Source organism: Homo sapiens, chromosome 6 (assembly GCF_000001405.40).
Source record: "Homo sapiens chromosome 6, GRCh38.p14 Primary Assembly".
In the NCBI taxonomy this organism is placed as follows: Eukaryota; Metazoa; Chordata; class Mammalia; order Primates; family Hominidae; genus Homo; species Homo sapiens.
Window position 1 is genome coordinate 154,853,116 of NC_000006.12, and position 16,232 is coordinate 154,869,347.

A 16,232-nucleotide genomic window follows, 5' to 3' on the forward strand; every position below is an offset into this window, starting at 1 on the left:
CACAGTACACTCCCAGCACTTTGGGAGGCTGAGGTAGGAAGATTGCTTAAGCCCAGGAGATCGAGACCAGCCTGAGCAACAACGTAAGACTCCATCTCTACAAAAAACCTAAAAATATTAGCCAGGTATGGTGGTGTGCCCTGGTGGTTCCAGCTACTTGGGAAGCTGAGGTAGGCAGATCACTTGAAGATCAGTTGAGCCCAGGAGGTCAAGGCTTCAGTGAGCTATGTTCACGCCTCTGCACTGCAGCCTGGGCGACAAAACGAGACCCTGTCTTTTTTTTTTTCTGAGACAGAGTCTCGTTCTGTTGCCCAAGCTGGAGTGCATGATCTCACCTCTCTGCAACCTCCGCCTCAGTACCAAGTAGCTGGGACCACAGGTGCTTGCCACCATGCCTGGCTAATTTTTTTTTTCTTTTTTTCTCTGAAGACGGGGTTTCACCATGTTGGCCAGACTGGTCTTGAACTCCTGACCTCAGGTTATCCACCTGCCTTGGCCTCCCGAAGTGCTGGGATTACAGGCGTGAGCCACTGCACCCAGCCCAAGACCCTGTCTTCAAAACAAAACCTAGAAGAATCAAACCACTGAAATCTGGAAAAATTAGTTACTTGCTACACAAAGCCTTGCACCAGCAACTTCAGCATCACTTGGAAGCTTATGATGCTCAGAATCTTAGGCTCCATCCCAGAGTCACCGAATCAGGATCTGCGTTTTTAAAAGATCCTCAAGTGATTCATAGGTGTGATAAAATTTAGTTGTAGTTCATTTATCTTTTCCCCAACAAACACAAGTTTTCATATATTCGAAGTCTTATTTTTGATGTTACTATAGATTAAAAGAATTTTGTAAATAAGCTTAGTGACAAGAAAAGTGAAACAAATTTAAAAATAGCAGTTAAACTGAATAATGATTTTGTTTCCTCCTAAGACAACAGTTAGCAGAAGTCATATGTACAGTTGTTTCTGAAGGTGAGATCATTTTTTAACTAGAGCTGCTCCATGGTGTATTTAAGAGTTTTATTTGATACCATCTCTGGTAATATTAGAGCCTTGAGAGCATGTCTCATATGAATATTTTTATTTTGCCTATAGATTGAATTTCATGAAATGTTGAGGTGGAAGTCTGTGGATTAGGACTGAGGGAATACCTTCTTTGGTTCTTTCTGATTTTTTGACAGGCTTCCCTAAGTTTGTCCTAGGCCTCACTCTACCTTAGTAGATACTGGCAATGTGCCCATTAGGAGAGAATAGAATTCAGTAAAATGTGAAAGGTTTTTAAAAAGTGTCATTGATAAATAAGATGAAAAGATTGGAAACCATCAAAGCTTTATTACTTAAAAGTTAACGTAGGCACTATGTTCAGCTCAAGTACCTTAAGAGGTATGTCTTCGTGCTTACACATCAACATACAGAGGTTAATGTTGTTATATGGCACAACTTTTGTGTAGGAAATGTTTCAGTCACAGTATTAAAGTTTCTATTAAAATATTTCTAAAAATATGGGAAATGTGACATTTTAAATTAATGGGCCTGAAAAAAATAGCTTAAAGTTAAATGTTTTTATCGGATTATAAGAGTTCCAAGTTTCTTTCTAGATTATTTGAAATAGTTTACAAAATGCTATTTTAAACAGACTTTCAACCTGTTTCAAAACTCAAATATAGATGCCTGAGGGTTGAGAGAAAGAGAGTGTGTTACCACATGTTTATCATTGGAATGTAGAAACAAATTCATACTCAATTCAGCAAATACTTATTGAATAATATATATATTTCAGATGCCTTGATAAAAATTGGTGACAGTAGGTAATTGAGAAAGATATTACGTTATTGACAGAACACAGTTCCTGCCTTCAAGGAGTTTACCTTTTAGTGAGAAACAACCAGTAAATTCTATTTCAATATAATGTATGAATTGCTGTAACAGATTGGGTACGTAAGATACAGCTAGAACATAGAGAAAGGATGCTAGTTGCTAGATTTTCATTAGAAGATGCATTTTTGTTTCAGCAAATTAACTTCCTAAGTCTCAATATCCTCATCTATAAAACTAGAAATAAAAAGTACCTGGAAGACTCATTTTGAGGGTCAAATGAAAATACATGTGCAGTGCTTAGTACAATACATAAAACAGACTGCATAATAAATGTTGACTGCTGCTAATACTTAGTGGCCATTACTTAGGAAATCTTTCCTTCTGTCTTTGTGATTTCTGCTTCCCTTTCTTCTTTATTTATTTATTTTATTTTTAATATTCGTAGCCCTAGTCCATGGATTTGAAGGAAACATTGCTAAAATCATGGAGGTAAAATTTAGGTTTCTTTGGACATTTCTTTTCTCCTATTGTCCCTTCCCTGCCCACCCAACATGAATAACCCTAGTCTCCTCTTTAACTTTTGAAAGTTTCCGGAACAGTAATGGTAGGGTCCTTTTACAGCATGATGTCACGTGTTACTCAAGACTTGTACTGTCCAGTATGGTAGCCTTTAGTCACCTATTGCTATTTAAATTTATAAAAAATTAAAAATTCAGTTCCTCAGTCACACCAGTCACACTTAAATGCTCAACAGCCACATTAGCTAGTGCCTACCAAATTGAGCGGCACAAGTACAGAACATTTCCAGGAGGTCCTATTTTATAGCGTTACTCTAGAAGAGCAATTGCTGATAACATAGGCTGTTTACCTTAATTAAAATTATATGATTCAGAATTCTCTGTCCCAAACTATATTTAAATTTTTTTTTTTTTTTAATTCTCACTTCTGGTTAGTTTCCATTAAGGAGTTACCATGCTTCACAATGCTGATTCTTATTTTTATAAATATAAACTCTACATTGGTATTTCAATTTGTGTTTTAAGTCTTACTAAAATGTCTTGGGGTGTTTTTTTCAAATATAATTCAGTGAAGTTTTCAGACTCTTTTAAGTCACATCTTTAAAATGCTATTTCTGATTAAAGATAACGTAACATAATGTTGCGATAAATATGTATTCTGCTCTACAATAAATATATAGACTGCTTTACTCCCTTCTTTCTTCTTCAGTCTTTTATGTATTATATTTGCCTTTTCTGAGCAATTCAGCTTGCTTTTTCCAAATACAGTATTCAGTTAGGGTGTTTCATACACCAGCTGCCATTTACATCTATGTTATTACCTATGGCAGACACCTACACATGCTGACAGACAATTTTAAGTCAGTCAGTCCATCCTTAAGGTTACCAAAAGACCAGAAAGATTATCTACTGACTGCTGCTGGGCAGATTTTACACTGAGTTTGAAGTGTTCAGTTATATATAACATTCTGGCTCAGTTCGTCAAGAACTCATCCATAATTCTTCCTGGAAGTGTCCTCATGTGCAACTGTCAGGATCTTTCCAGAGAGACTTTTAAAAAAATTCTGTAACCCTAAAAATGATGTTTGCTACTTTTTGATTTGTTGCAATATAAACAGGTAATATTTACAGACAATATAAGTAAATACTGAGTTCCTTTTCATACTATGAACTACGTTATTGCTATGTTGACCTGTTGAGTTCACTGTATACTTTATGAAGCCATATTCTCAACAATATATCATGATATCAATGATCTTTAGTAATTAGTCTTTTATTCTGAAAGATTGGGCACCAGATCAGAGTTGAAGAGAAAGTGAATAAGCCTTTAATGTTTTAACAATATCTTGGAGTTTGAAAACACCATAGAGATCACTGGCTGTATTTTTTAGAAAAGAAAAAATTTAAAAGAAATTGTGACTTATAGTCATGGGCCTACGTAGCAGTTTTCTTTTTTAATGTATACTTTATTCCATATAAGTTGGTATATAATGTTTACAATTTACACATCTCTATAGAAATGCAATGAACAAATTTGAATTCAGAGAGACTCAAAGAGGGCCAGTTACTTCATGTCTCATTGTCTCAGTTTTTTTTTTTTTTAATGTAAAATGGGCCAATTATTGTGTTGAGCTTAAGTGTTTGTTTTGAAGACCTAAAGAGTAATGCATGGTACTAACACATGCCACAGCATGGTTGAATCTTGATGATACTGTGCTAAGTAAAAGAAGCCAGACACAGGCTGGACGCGGTGGCTCACGCCTGTAATCCCAGCACTTTGGGAGGCTGAAGTGGGTGGATCACTTGAGGTCAGGAGTTTGAGACCAGCCTGACCAACATGGTGGAACCCTGTCTTTACTAAAACTACAAAAAAATTAGCTGGGCGTGGTGGTGTGCGCCTGTAATCCCGGCTACTTGGGAGGCTGAAACAGGAGAATCGCTTGAACTTTGGAGGCAGAGGTTGCAGTGAGCCGAGATCGTGCCATTGCACTGCAGCCTGGGCGACGAGCTGAAACTCCATCACACACACACACACACACACACACACACACACACACACACACACACTGAAACTCCATCTCACACACACACACACACAGACACAAAAGATCACATATTACGATTTATTTATATGAAATGTCCAGAAAAGCCAAGTCAGTAGAGACAGAAAATAGATAAGTGGTTACCAGTGGCTTAGGGGTGAGGGGGTGGGAAAGAATGGAGAGTGACTGCCGATGGGTACAGTTCCCTTTCAGCATGATGACAATGTTCTGAAATTCGTGGTGGTGGTGGTGGTTATACATCTTTGTCAACATACTTAGAACTACTGAGTTGTACACTTGATAAAGGTGAAATGTATCATATGCGAATTGATACCTCACTAAGAAGAAAAACAGTAATGCATGTAAAGTACTTAGCAGGTACCTGTTACATAATAAGCTTTTTTTTTTTTTTTTGGGACGGAGTCTCATTCTGTCACCCAGGCTGGAGTGTGGTGGTGCAATCTCAGCTCACTGCAACCTCCGCCTCCCAGGTTCAAACGATCCTCCCGCCTCAGCCTCCCAAGTAGTTGGGACTACAGGCATGCGCCACCGTGCCCGGCTAATTTTTGTATTTTTAATAGAGACAGGCTTTCACCATGTTGGCCAGGCTGTCTCAATAAGCTGTCTTTATAAAGATTTTTGGCTACAGTTATTAGGAACCATTTGTGAATTTTAAGAAAAGAATGCAGAAAAACTAGGAAGTATAGGCTGGGCGGGGTGGCTCACGCCTGTAATCCCAGCAGTTTGGGAGGCCGAGGCAGGTGGATCACCTAAGGTCAGGAGTTCGAGACCAGCCTGGCCATCATGATGAAACCCCATTTCTACTACAGATACAAAAATTAGCTGGGCATGGTGGCGGGCGCCTTATAATCCCAGCTGCTCGGGAAAGTGAGGCAGAAGAATCGCTTGAACTCGGGAGTCGGAGGTTGTGGTGACCTGAGATCGCATCATTGCACTCCAGCCTGGGAAACAAGAGTAAGACTCAGTCTCAAAAAAAAAAAAAAAAAAAAAAAAAAAGAAAAGAAAAGAAAAACTGGAAAGTGTAATATTTAGTATTGTATTTTATTTTACTACCTGAAATACAAATAATTTAACCACTAATGGCATATTTTAATTACTTTTTCAGCAGTAGAATATAAAAAAGATATTTACTAACACTAGTTTCCAAATTCAGGTAATCATAGTGAGTTTTTTGCAAGAAAGAATCCCATGTTTTAGTCAGTATTACAGTACTATTTCAATACTTTTCTTAATATGAATATATAAGCCATTAAAATGGCAGATTATATGTTGTATACATTTTACCATATTTTTAAAAATAATAAATACTAAGTCTTGTAAGAGCTTTTAATCCTTGAGAAGCCTTCTTTCTCTGTGTATTGTCCTGTCCTTTTTATTATTTCAGAAAAAGGTAATCATAGTGATAGAAATCTTTAATGATGGCAGTTTATATGTATCTTTAGTTTGTGGCTTTTAAAATGAAAATTATTACAGCTGATATCTAATATACGTATCTACTAGGTACTGAATAGGGCACCCACGGGAAGTAAATTCCATACCTTAAATTAATCTCATGTTGTTAGTGTGATAAAATAGAACACTCAGTGTTGTTGGTCTGGGGGAAAGTGATGTTTTAGCTTCGCTTCTCAGCTGTCATAGTGGTGCCAGTAACTTATAGAGTAGAAAATGCTCTGGTTAACTCGCAGAATCTGGAATAAAGAGCTGCTATAGATCTTCGTGTGATGCTAGTAGCAGAAAAAAGATAGTTTTTGTTTTAAGGGCTTACATAAGGTAGTTGAGGACAAATTGTTTTAAGGGCTTACATAAGACAGTTGAGGACAAAGAATTCACTAAGGATAGCCCCAGTGCCTATGAATGGCTCTTGATGTATGATGGTTGCTCAGATATTTGTTTAATTAATTTACAGGTATTCATTGGGATGCAATTTGATGATAATTAAATGCATAAATTGTGATAACTATTTGTCAAGCCAATTTTTTACACTAGCATTTTGTTTGAGTGAGAGATTGGGTGGGGATGGAGATACCAGGAAATTCTGTAAGTGTTACCGCCTTCAAGGAACTTAGAAAGGTGGTGGGCGATGGGGAAGATACTAAAGAATGGTGTAAAAAATGCAAGGTTGAATATAGCCAAGTGCTTCAGTACTTGGTGAAGGTGCGAAATGCTCCATATGAAGAGAAAAGAATGCAGTAGTGACTAGATTTATGGCGGAAATGGGATTTGGGGTTGGCCTCGAAGGACTATCTTAAAGGCTGAGACAGGGTGAAAGGTATTTCCATGTAGGGATATTGATCAGTTAGGAGACAAACTAGAGCAAAGGTATAAAGCCTGAGAGTCAGCCCCTCGAAAGTTGAAGAAATGTGAGCTCCATCTGACTGGAGCTGGGAAATCCACTTTAGGAGAAAGTGACAGACTTATGTTATGGTTGGATTGATTAAGTGAGATGGGGTTATACAGAATCTTCAGCGTCAGAAGCAGAGTAGTTCATAGTTCACATAGACTTCGAGAGGAGGAGTCAGGGTACTTAGTATAGGTTCTCTAACCGAAAAATGAATTGATGTTTAAGGAGAGATTAATTTGGTAGTTTTGTGTATGGTGCGAAAATGGGGTTGGAGAGACTCATTAATGGGTTTGCTCCATAGTGCCCTTGTGTGGGGTATACACTTTTTTTTTCTTTGAGGCACAGTGCAGTGGCGCAATCCCAGCTCACTGCAACCTCCGCCTCCTGGGCTCAAGCGATTCTCCTGCCTCAGCCTCCCAAGTAGCTGGGACTACAGGTGCCCGCCACCACACTCTGCTAATTTTTTGTAGTTTGAGTAGAGATGGGGTTTCACCATGTTGGCCAGGCTGGTCTCAAACTCCTGACCTCAATTGATCCGCCCACCTCGGCCTCCCAAAGTGCTGGGATTACAGGTGTGAGCCTCTGTGCCCGGCCGGGTGTACACTTTTATATGACACATAAGGCTGGGTCTAGGCAGAATTATAAATAGATTATTGCCTTTTGCCTTTTTTTTCCCTCTGTTTTCCCCCATGTCTTTCTTCATTGTCCCCATAGACCCTAATATTATAGTAGATTGTTTAGCTATCATAATAGATTCTAGACAATCAGCTGTTATTCAGTGAGTTTGTGATTTGGGGAATAATCTCTTTTTTAAAAAACACAAATTCTCACTTTAATAAGTGACTTTTGTAAACCAAGAGCTTTCCTTGTCAAATTTTCATTATAGGTTAATGATGAAATGGCAGGTAATTCACACTTTTGGACAGAGCGCACCGCCCCCGTGGAATCACCCTACAGAAGAGGCCAGCTATAAAGGATGTCTCACACCTTTAAGATCAGTGTTTCTCAATGTGTGGACCATGGATACCTGTATTAGAATACCCAAAGGATTTGTTTAAAATTCAGGCTGAGCCCTTCCCAAGACCTAATAGAGCTAAAAGCTTTGGGAGTAGGTGGAGGAAACCTGCATCTTTACCCAGCAATCCAGGTAATTTATATGCATACTACATTTTGAGACCCACTGATGAAAGAATTCTAATTTTCTATAGAGTTACTCTAGCAAGGAACCTTCTCATTTCTTATGTATTAGGTTATTTCTATATGGAACATTTCCCAGTAGACCATATTATTTATGGTATCTTATTAGGTGGAAGCCAAAAGAACGTTAAATAATCTGCTGGTGTTTTTGGGTTAGTTTTGCACTATTTCTCACAGTGCAAGCAATTCTTGTTACCTAGTAAAACGGTTCCCCCTTTGAAGGGTTGAATATTGTTCACATAGCACCCCAGCCTGTGGTGTATATGTTTAATCTGTCAAATCTCATTAAATTTTTCTTCTATAAGAATGCTAATGATACCAATTTCTAGAATTGAATGATTTCTACTCTGCCTGTTGGACTGCAAATTTGAAATCCCCTATAATAATTAGACCCCTCCTTAGAGTATATTATAATGACCATCGAACCTGTATCTAAAAATTCTAGTAACTTAACCATCCAGTCTTAAAAAAAAAAAATTAAAACAGGAATTCCAAAACAATTTCAGAAGTTAGAATAGGTGAAGTTAGCCTATTTTAGATGTGTGCAGGGATGGCAGTGGGGGGGAAAGATGGATTACTAAGTATCATTTATTTCTTGCTGGGTAAAAATTCAAACACAAGACCTTATAGCTGCCTTTTTATTACACTTGGCTTCCTTTTAGCTTTATTGGGCTTTGGTTGGTACATATGTGAATAAACTTAGACTATTATTGTATTTGACTGACAAACACTTAAAAATGAGTTTGTTCATATTCATTTTAGGTGGAGTTAGAAATGGAACCTAAATTGTAAAATATAATACAGCATGCTGCTTTTCGTTCTGGTTTTATGGTAACATTGAAACTAAAATGTTTCTTTCTAATGTGTCCATCCTGACTGCCATCCTTAAACTAGAGCCTCTTGTCTGCTATCTGAAAAGAGCAACAGCAGGAAGGAAGCAATTGATTTATACACATTTGAATTAGTCTGTAAAGCCCAAGGCCTGTGTTTGTTCAAGAAGAGACAGAGGCAGCAGTAATGCTCTGTGCATCAGGTGGATTAGTTGGAAATGTGCAAGCTATCATCTTTCTAAGAAAAGCATTTTAACAAGGCAAATTTGTGCCTAGCTCTTTTTTTTCTGTATATCTGTTGTGTTGATTTTTAATTTGGATTGTTTTCCACTGGCTTTAAAAATGCAAGTCTTTTTCAAAGAAAGGAGAAAGCATTTTGTAGCTAGTAGTATTTCAAGATTCCGTCATAATGTACATTGATTATACATCAAACTATATATAGTGTAGTTAGCTGGATGTAGACTGTGTAGCTTTGTAGTTTGCAACTTAGTTGTATATTTAAATGAGAAACAAGTGACTAACTGGATCCCATCAAGGTGGGTGTTAAGTACAGCCTCAGCCATAAAAGACTTAATCAGACCGGGTGCAGTGGCTCATGCCTATAATCCCAGCACTTTGGGAGGCCGAGGCAGGTGGATCACCTGAGGTCAGGAGTTCGAGACCAGCCTGACCAACATGGAGAAACCCCGTCTCTACTAAAAATACAAAATTAGGCGGGCATGATGGTGCATGCCTGTAATCCCATCTGAGGCAGGAGAATCACTTGAACCAGGAGGCGAGGTTGCGGTGATCCGAAATCACGCCATTGCACTCCAGCCTGGGCAACAAGAGCGAAACTCCCTCTTAAAAAAAAAAGACCTAATCAATACGTTTCCAAGGAGAAAGCGGGATTTTGAAATTCCTACTAGCTGCCAAAAGACAAAATGTTCCTGACACAGCTTTACTACCAAGTGAAAAAATTAAAAAATTCATTAGCTATAGCAAAAATCAGTTTTCAGTTTTTCCGGTTACCGGTTTTCTGGAAATCATTTGATTTTCAAATCTGCTGTTAGATTGCATTGTGCTTTTATTGAAATAGAGCATCTGGAGACTCTGCTATAGATGCTCTGCTTCAGAAATGAAGATGTCTCCATTAAATTTGGTCATAGTAGCATGAAATCTTTTAGCTGAATATAAAACATTTTGACACCTTTAAAGGATAAACGCTCATACCTTCAGGACTGTCAATTCATTTTATTAGTTATGTGGTATTAGATGCATCTCCCTTGGTGCATACTCTTAATTGTTAATTTAAAGTTCCTTGTAGTTTTAATTTTAAAGGACTTATTTGGAATGTTATTACATTTCTCTCATTTTGTAATCACCAACAGAATTTTGCCATTGCCAGATAATTTAACTAGTGCAGGAATTTGACTTTGTTATATACTCATGAGGGGCAAATTCTTTACTGATCATTTGATGGTTAGCTTTGCCAGAAGATTAGGAGTATTACTATTTCAGTTTCCCAAGATGATAAGTCTTTGAAAGTGGATAAGAGAATTGACTCAGTAAAGGTTACAGCCACAAAGACAGCAAAATTGTAAAATCATTCTCATTGCTGATAAAATTGAGTCTTTAAATGCATAGTTGCATACATGCATGAATGCGTGCACACACACACACACACACACACACACACACACACACACACACTTTGGGAATGTAATCTGTAAAATGTGTTGCCAGTCTCAGAGGAAACTGTAAAATAAGTGGAGTTTTCGTTGTCCTGGCTTTCTTTTCTGCTTCTTTTTATTGATTTTTAAATTAGCCTACCCCAATATCTTCCAGGGAATTTTTAAAAAGTTATCTTTCTCTCTTTCTTGAGGTTCCTCATATACTCTCACTCACACGCACATTTTCACGAGAGCGAAGTCTACCTTTAACTGAAATGAATGACTGCTGAATGGTCAGGAACTCCAAGTCCACATGGAATTCTTGCTCTTCGGTCCCAGACTCTCCCTTCTGTGTCCCCCTTAGGCAGGTGAGCATTCTGTAGTTTGTAGCCACAGCTCCACCTGGTTTGGGTTTTCTTCCTGTCATTGCCTTATTCCAGTTAATCATTACCTAGACTAGTTGCTAAGCTGAAAATTCATGTTGTGGAATTTCATATTGGATAACATAGTTACTTTTCTTGTTTTTTAAACAATGCTTTCAAAAAATAAAGGAAAAAAACGAATCTCTTAATTATAGCATTTTGGAGCCTTAACATTTGATCAGCATTTAAAAGCAGTGTTACATGTTTGAATTGTGGTGGTTCTTGAAACTGTTTTACTGCCTTCTTTGTCCTCATGGAGAATGTTGTCCTAAGCACAGAACTTGTCATTCGAGTATCTTGAGGATTTGTACAAATTGTTTATCCTGTGACATCAATTCTTTGTGCTAACTGGTTTCTGCCTTTGACAAGGCTTTTGAAATTTGTGCAACAAAAGCTTCCATGGGTGAACGACAATGTAGTTTTGTTCACTGCTAATTCCTGGAGTGGTTAACACTGTTTGGGGTGATACCTTGTTTAAAGCAGACAAGAAAATATGTGAGGATAGCTGTGGAAATAGAAAATATAAAAATTTTAACATTCTCACACTGAGTGACTTTTCATGTAAAGGTTTATTTCCTTTCAGAAATGCTGTCACTTTACTCAATTCAGTGATTTTTTATTTTTTCAAATTAATATTAGTTTGTTTTGACAAATGAGTTTATCAGATTGTTCATCTGACCAAAAATTTTAAAAGTTCGGTACTCTGTCCTATTCTTTTGTCGTGAACATCTCTCACGCTGATCTCCTAATACCTGTTTTCTTTCTACCATCTACAGCACAGTCGTTTTTCCTTTTTCTTCTTGTCATTCAAAATGGTGCTTATTTCACATTTTTGTCTGTTTTATTTTAAAATAATACATGTTTATCATAACTTATTCAACCAATAACAAAGGAGATGAAGTAAAAAATTCATAATTAGCCAGCCAGCCTAATTCTTCTTCTGCAGAGGCAACCATTATTAGTTCCTCATGTGTTCTTCTAGATGCTTCCCAAGCATATAAGCTGCACATCATTTGTAATGCCTGCATAATATTCTGCTATTTGCTTAACCATAATTTACTTAACCAATTTTCTTTCTTTTTTTTTTTTTTTGAGATGAAGCCTTGCTCTTGTCTCCCAGGCTAGAGTGCAATGGCGTGATCTCGGCTCACTGCAACCTCTGCCTCCCAGGTTCATGCGATTCTTCTGCGTCAACCTCCCGAGTAGCTGGGATTACAGGCGCCTGACACCATGCCCGGCTAATTTTTGTATTTTTTTTTTTTTTTTTAGTAGAGATGGGGTTTCACCATGTTGGCCATGCTGGTCTCGAACTCCTGACCTCAGGTCATCCGCCCACCTCGGCCTCCCAAAGTACTGGGATTACAGGTGTGAGCCACCGTGCCTGGCCCTAGTTAACCAATTTTCTCCTGAGAAACACGTTTCCTGTTTTTCTGTTGTACCCAGTATCTGCAGTTTCCCATGGTGCTCCAGTCCTCTACTGAGGAGCATTTCAGCTGTTTCCTGTTCTCTCTGTTCTACCCAGTCTTGACAGAGTTTGGAAGGATGTTTTTCTTTTCTTAGACATGTTATTTTAGAGCACTCTCAGGGATTCAGTAGTCACATGGAATTTCTTGATGTAATGTTTTGTTTTGTTTTGAGATAGAGTTTTACTCTTGTCAACCAGGCTGGATTGCAGTGGCGTAATCTTGGCTCACTGCAACCTCTGTCTCCTGGGTTCAAGCAATTCTCCTGCCTCAGCTTCTCAGGTAGCTGGGATTACAGGTGCCCACCATCACACCTGGCTAATTTTGTGTTTTTAGTAGAGAGGGGGTTTTGCCATGTTGGCCAGGCTGGTCTCGAACTCCTGACCTCAAGTGATCCACCCACCTCGGCCTCCCAAAGTGCTGGGATTACAGGTGTGAGCCACCATGCCCGGCTGTGATTTAATGTTTATAATTTTAAAACCCATGAATGTTTTCAGGGAATTAGAGTTAACTTTTAGAAAATTGCTTTTGTAGTGTCCTGTGTTATCCTTATGTGAGTAAAGCATTATCCTGTAGGCTGAGAGTAGAGAGTACAAAACAGAGGCCAGGCCCTGATGGATTCACCATGAGGCTTCACTCTTTCTCTTCACCTTTCACTACTGAAAGCTGTTAGTATGTGTCTATTCACTATGTGATCCTAGGACATATTTTACTGATATGATTATTTGAGTAGGAGTTGTGTGGTGGCAATTGTGGGTTGTTTTTTTTGGCGGGGCCGGGGTAGGGGGTTGAGACAGGGTCTGGAGTGCAGTGGCATGATCTCAGCTCACTGCAGCTTTGACTGCCTGAGCTCACGCAATTCTCTTGCCTCAGCCTCCTGAGTAGCTGGGACCACAGAAAGGAACCACCATACCCAGCTGATTTTAAAAATTATTTGTAGAGGGGAGGTCCTGCTATATTGCCTGGGCTGGTCTCAAACTCCTGGGCCCAGGCGATCCTCCCACCTTGGCCTCCCAAATTGCTGAGATTACAGACATGAGCCACTATGCCTGGCCCAGCAATTGCTTTAACAGTGGTTAATACGGATATTCCTTGAGCCAGAAGCATAATTTTCCCCATCTGATGCCCAAAATATGAAAGGAAAGAGAAGACATTTACAGGTCTGCAGAAGCAGGGCCCCACAAGGTGGCTACAGATATTATTATGTGGGGCAGGGGTAGGGGAGGGAGGCAGTAGGGAGTTGTATGAAAAGTTTAGATCATTTTTTAGTAAAAACTCCATCTTTTAAGGGCGAATTATTTAAAATATGTCCTTATAGGCTGGGCGCGGTGGCTTATGCCTGTAATCCCAGCACTTTGGGAGGCCAAGGTGGGCAGATCACCTGAGGTCAGGAGTTCGAGACCAGCCTGGCCAACGTGGCGAAACCCTGTCTCTACTAAAAATACAAAAATTAGCTGGGCATGATGGTGCACGCCTGTAATCCCAGCTACCCGGGAGGCTGAGGTACGAGAATCGCTTGAACCTGGGAGGCAGAGGTTGCGGTGAGCCGAGATCGCGCCACTGCCCTCCTGCCTGGGTGCCAGAGCAAGACTCCATCTCAAAATAAAATAATGAAATAAAATATGTTCTTATAGTTACTTGTATAGCAGTCATATTTTCCCTAAGTGCTGGTTCCTTAGGAGCAAGGACTATGCCTTGTCACCCTTGTATCCCCAGCAGTGCCTTGCATGTAGTACAGCAAATATGGGCTGATTAATTAATAAACAGAAATAGTGAGATGTGCCATACACATATGCAAGTCCTAGTTATCAAAGTTAAATAAAAATGTCTTCATTTTTCCCAATTCATTACTCTTACTAAGCAATGAATAATTTCTTGAAAAGGAACTCTGTTACATGTATTCTGGGCAAAAACTGGCTAACTCACTAGTTCACAGCTATTTTTATTATACTTTGTTAAAACAAACAAAATGGGCAAGATTAAGGATGCTGTATTCTCCCGCTCTTGGAATGAAATTTGGTTTGAGTGTTCATCACTGAAAAGTATCATTTTAAATTCTTTTCTACTTCATTTTCTGCAGTGGAAAGTTACGGAAATACAGTTTGAAGGAAATAATTTCAGCCTACAATAATTAAAAATATTGCCATGGGTTTTTAAAAACTGATTTTCCTTTGAACTCTTGTACAGTATTTTGATGTGCATGACAAATAATGACATATATGGAGGCTGTCTTTGACGTCAGCATCTCACTTGGCATTGTTTCACATGCAGGTAAAACTTGCCTATTGGAAGTTTCTTTAAATGTAATAAACCTACCTACAGTTTATTTCTGATAGCCTTTGGGATTTAAGAGAGAAAACCAATACTTTAATTGTTTTAAAATCAAGGAAGCAAAATATCTGTGGGAAGGTGAGCTACTTAGCATTCAACAATGCAAAGTTTCAAAGCATTTTGCAAATTTTAAATATACGCTATAATTCTTCTATAATTGGTGTCTTTGGTACTTTTTGGGTAAATTGGAGTTATTCCAAAATAATTATATTTTATAGCACTTTTGACACCATAACACTTAGCAGCAGGATTTTTAAATTAAAGTACTGTTTAGTTCTTTGCATTCTGTGATATTATGTGTATGGACAACTTTAATTGAAATGTCTAATTCTGGTAGAGGAGGAGATCTCATTAATTGAAAATTATAAAAGGTTTCAAAAAGTAAGTATTTTTAAAATTGTATCTTTTCTTTTTGGTGTCCTTTTCAAAGAATAAATATTCTTAGTTGTGCCTCCGAAAATCACTTACGGAGCAAATTGCACTTCGGGATTCTATACTTGTACCAGTAGAGGTCACTGTGCACCTATAAAAGGAAACCCAGTGCTTGCTTCTAGGGATGAGCTAGTTATCCTAGAATGTTATAACTAATAACATGAGCTAGTTATCCTAGAATGTTATAACTAATAACAATCATTGATATTTCTGGGAACGTAACCAAATTCCCACCCCACTCCCACCTCACCTCTTAACAAAATCACTTGCCTGTTATCTATCACCTGAGAGTCACCTGTTACTGTCTGTCCACATAATGGAAGCGTATTCTGATGAGGTTAAGTAGAGCCCCGGCACACTGTCTCATAGTATACTTAGGTGAATCAGCCAAAGCACCAGAAACTATGATTTCACAGAAGCAGCCATTCAAACTCTCAGTTTCAGAGTTTGAAAGAACTTTAACATTCATCAGATTCAGCATCTGAGATGGGGTTGGAGACTTTTTCATCTATTCTTAACATTTAATTTGCAAATCCAAAATTGTTTCAAAGGTATTCTTTTCAGTACTGTCGTCCATTTAAGAATGAGATTTTACTTATTAAAACTGTTTAGACGTTTACAGTATTATAGTGTCCATGCTACATAGTGTTTGATTCTCTGAGTGTCCAACAAAATATTCGTAGAATATTGTTTTATATGATTATCGCCACAGAGGTTTCTGATAACAGAGGAGTATGTGAGAACTGAACAAAATGCTGGTTTGTTATAAAACTGCAATGGTGCCCTTACCAGATAGTCAAAACAAATGTGTAAATCTCCAATCAGCCTTGTGCAATGACCCAAGTTCCTGTGAAGGTGGCTGTAAAAGGTGATAAAGGAATGTCGTGAATGGAGCAAGCAGCGGGGAATCATAGACCAATGTGATTGGGCCTCAGTTTACAGAAGGAGAATACAATGTAGGTGCTTTCATGGTTCCCTTCAGCTCTAACACTCTCATCTTCAGTGCAGAGGGCACATTGCAGTGGTTAGCAACATGGGTCCTGGAGAGAGTGCCTGGATTTGAGTTATGACTCTGCCACTTAGTAGTCATGAGGTTATCTTATAGTTATCCTTTCTGCACCTGTTTCGACATCTGTAAAATGGGCTTGATACTAGTACCTGCCTCATAG

General features: G+C 38.4%; 1 non-coding gene across 1 annotated transcript, besides 2 other annotated features; it reads left to right on the plus strand.

The window, feature by feature from the left end:
• The first annotated feature begins 244 nt into the window (after positions 1-244).
• On the plus strand, positions 245-321 carry MIR1273C (microRNA 1273c). The gene has a single exon (NR_036100.1). It is a non-coding gene; the product is annotated as a microRNA 1273c (primary transcript).
• Positions 10,227-10,427: a silencer, noted in NCBI's record as "peak6235 fragment used in MPRA reporter construct". NCBI's record gives its function as "represses an SCP1 promoter by STARR-seq MPRAs in K562 erythroleukemia cells {active_cell/tissue: K562}" and the evidence as "EXISTENCE:reporter gene assay evidence [ECO:0000049][PMID:32103011]".
• Positions 10,660-10,954: a silencer, noted in NCBI's record as "tiled region #2718; HepG2 Repressive DNase matched - State 5:Enh, and K562 Repressive non-DNase unmatched - State 19:H4K20". NCBI's record gives its function as "represses a minimal TATA promoter and a strong SV40 promoter by Sharpr-MPRA in HepG2 and K562 cells {active_cell/tissue: HepG2 | K562}" and the evidence as "EXISTENCE:reporter gene assay evidence [ECO:0000049][PMID:27701403]".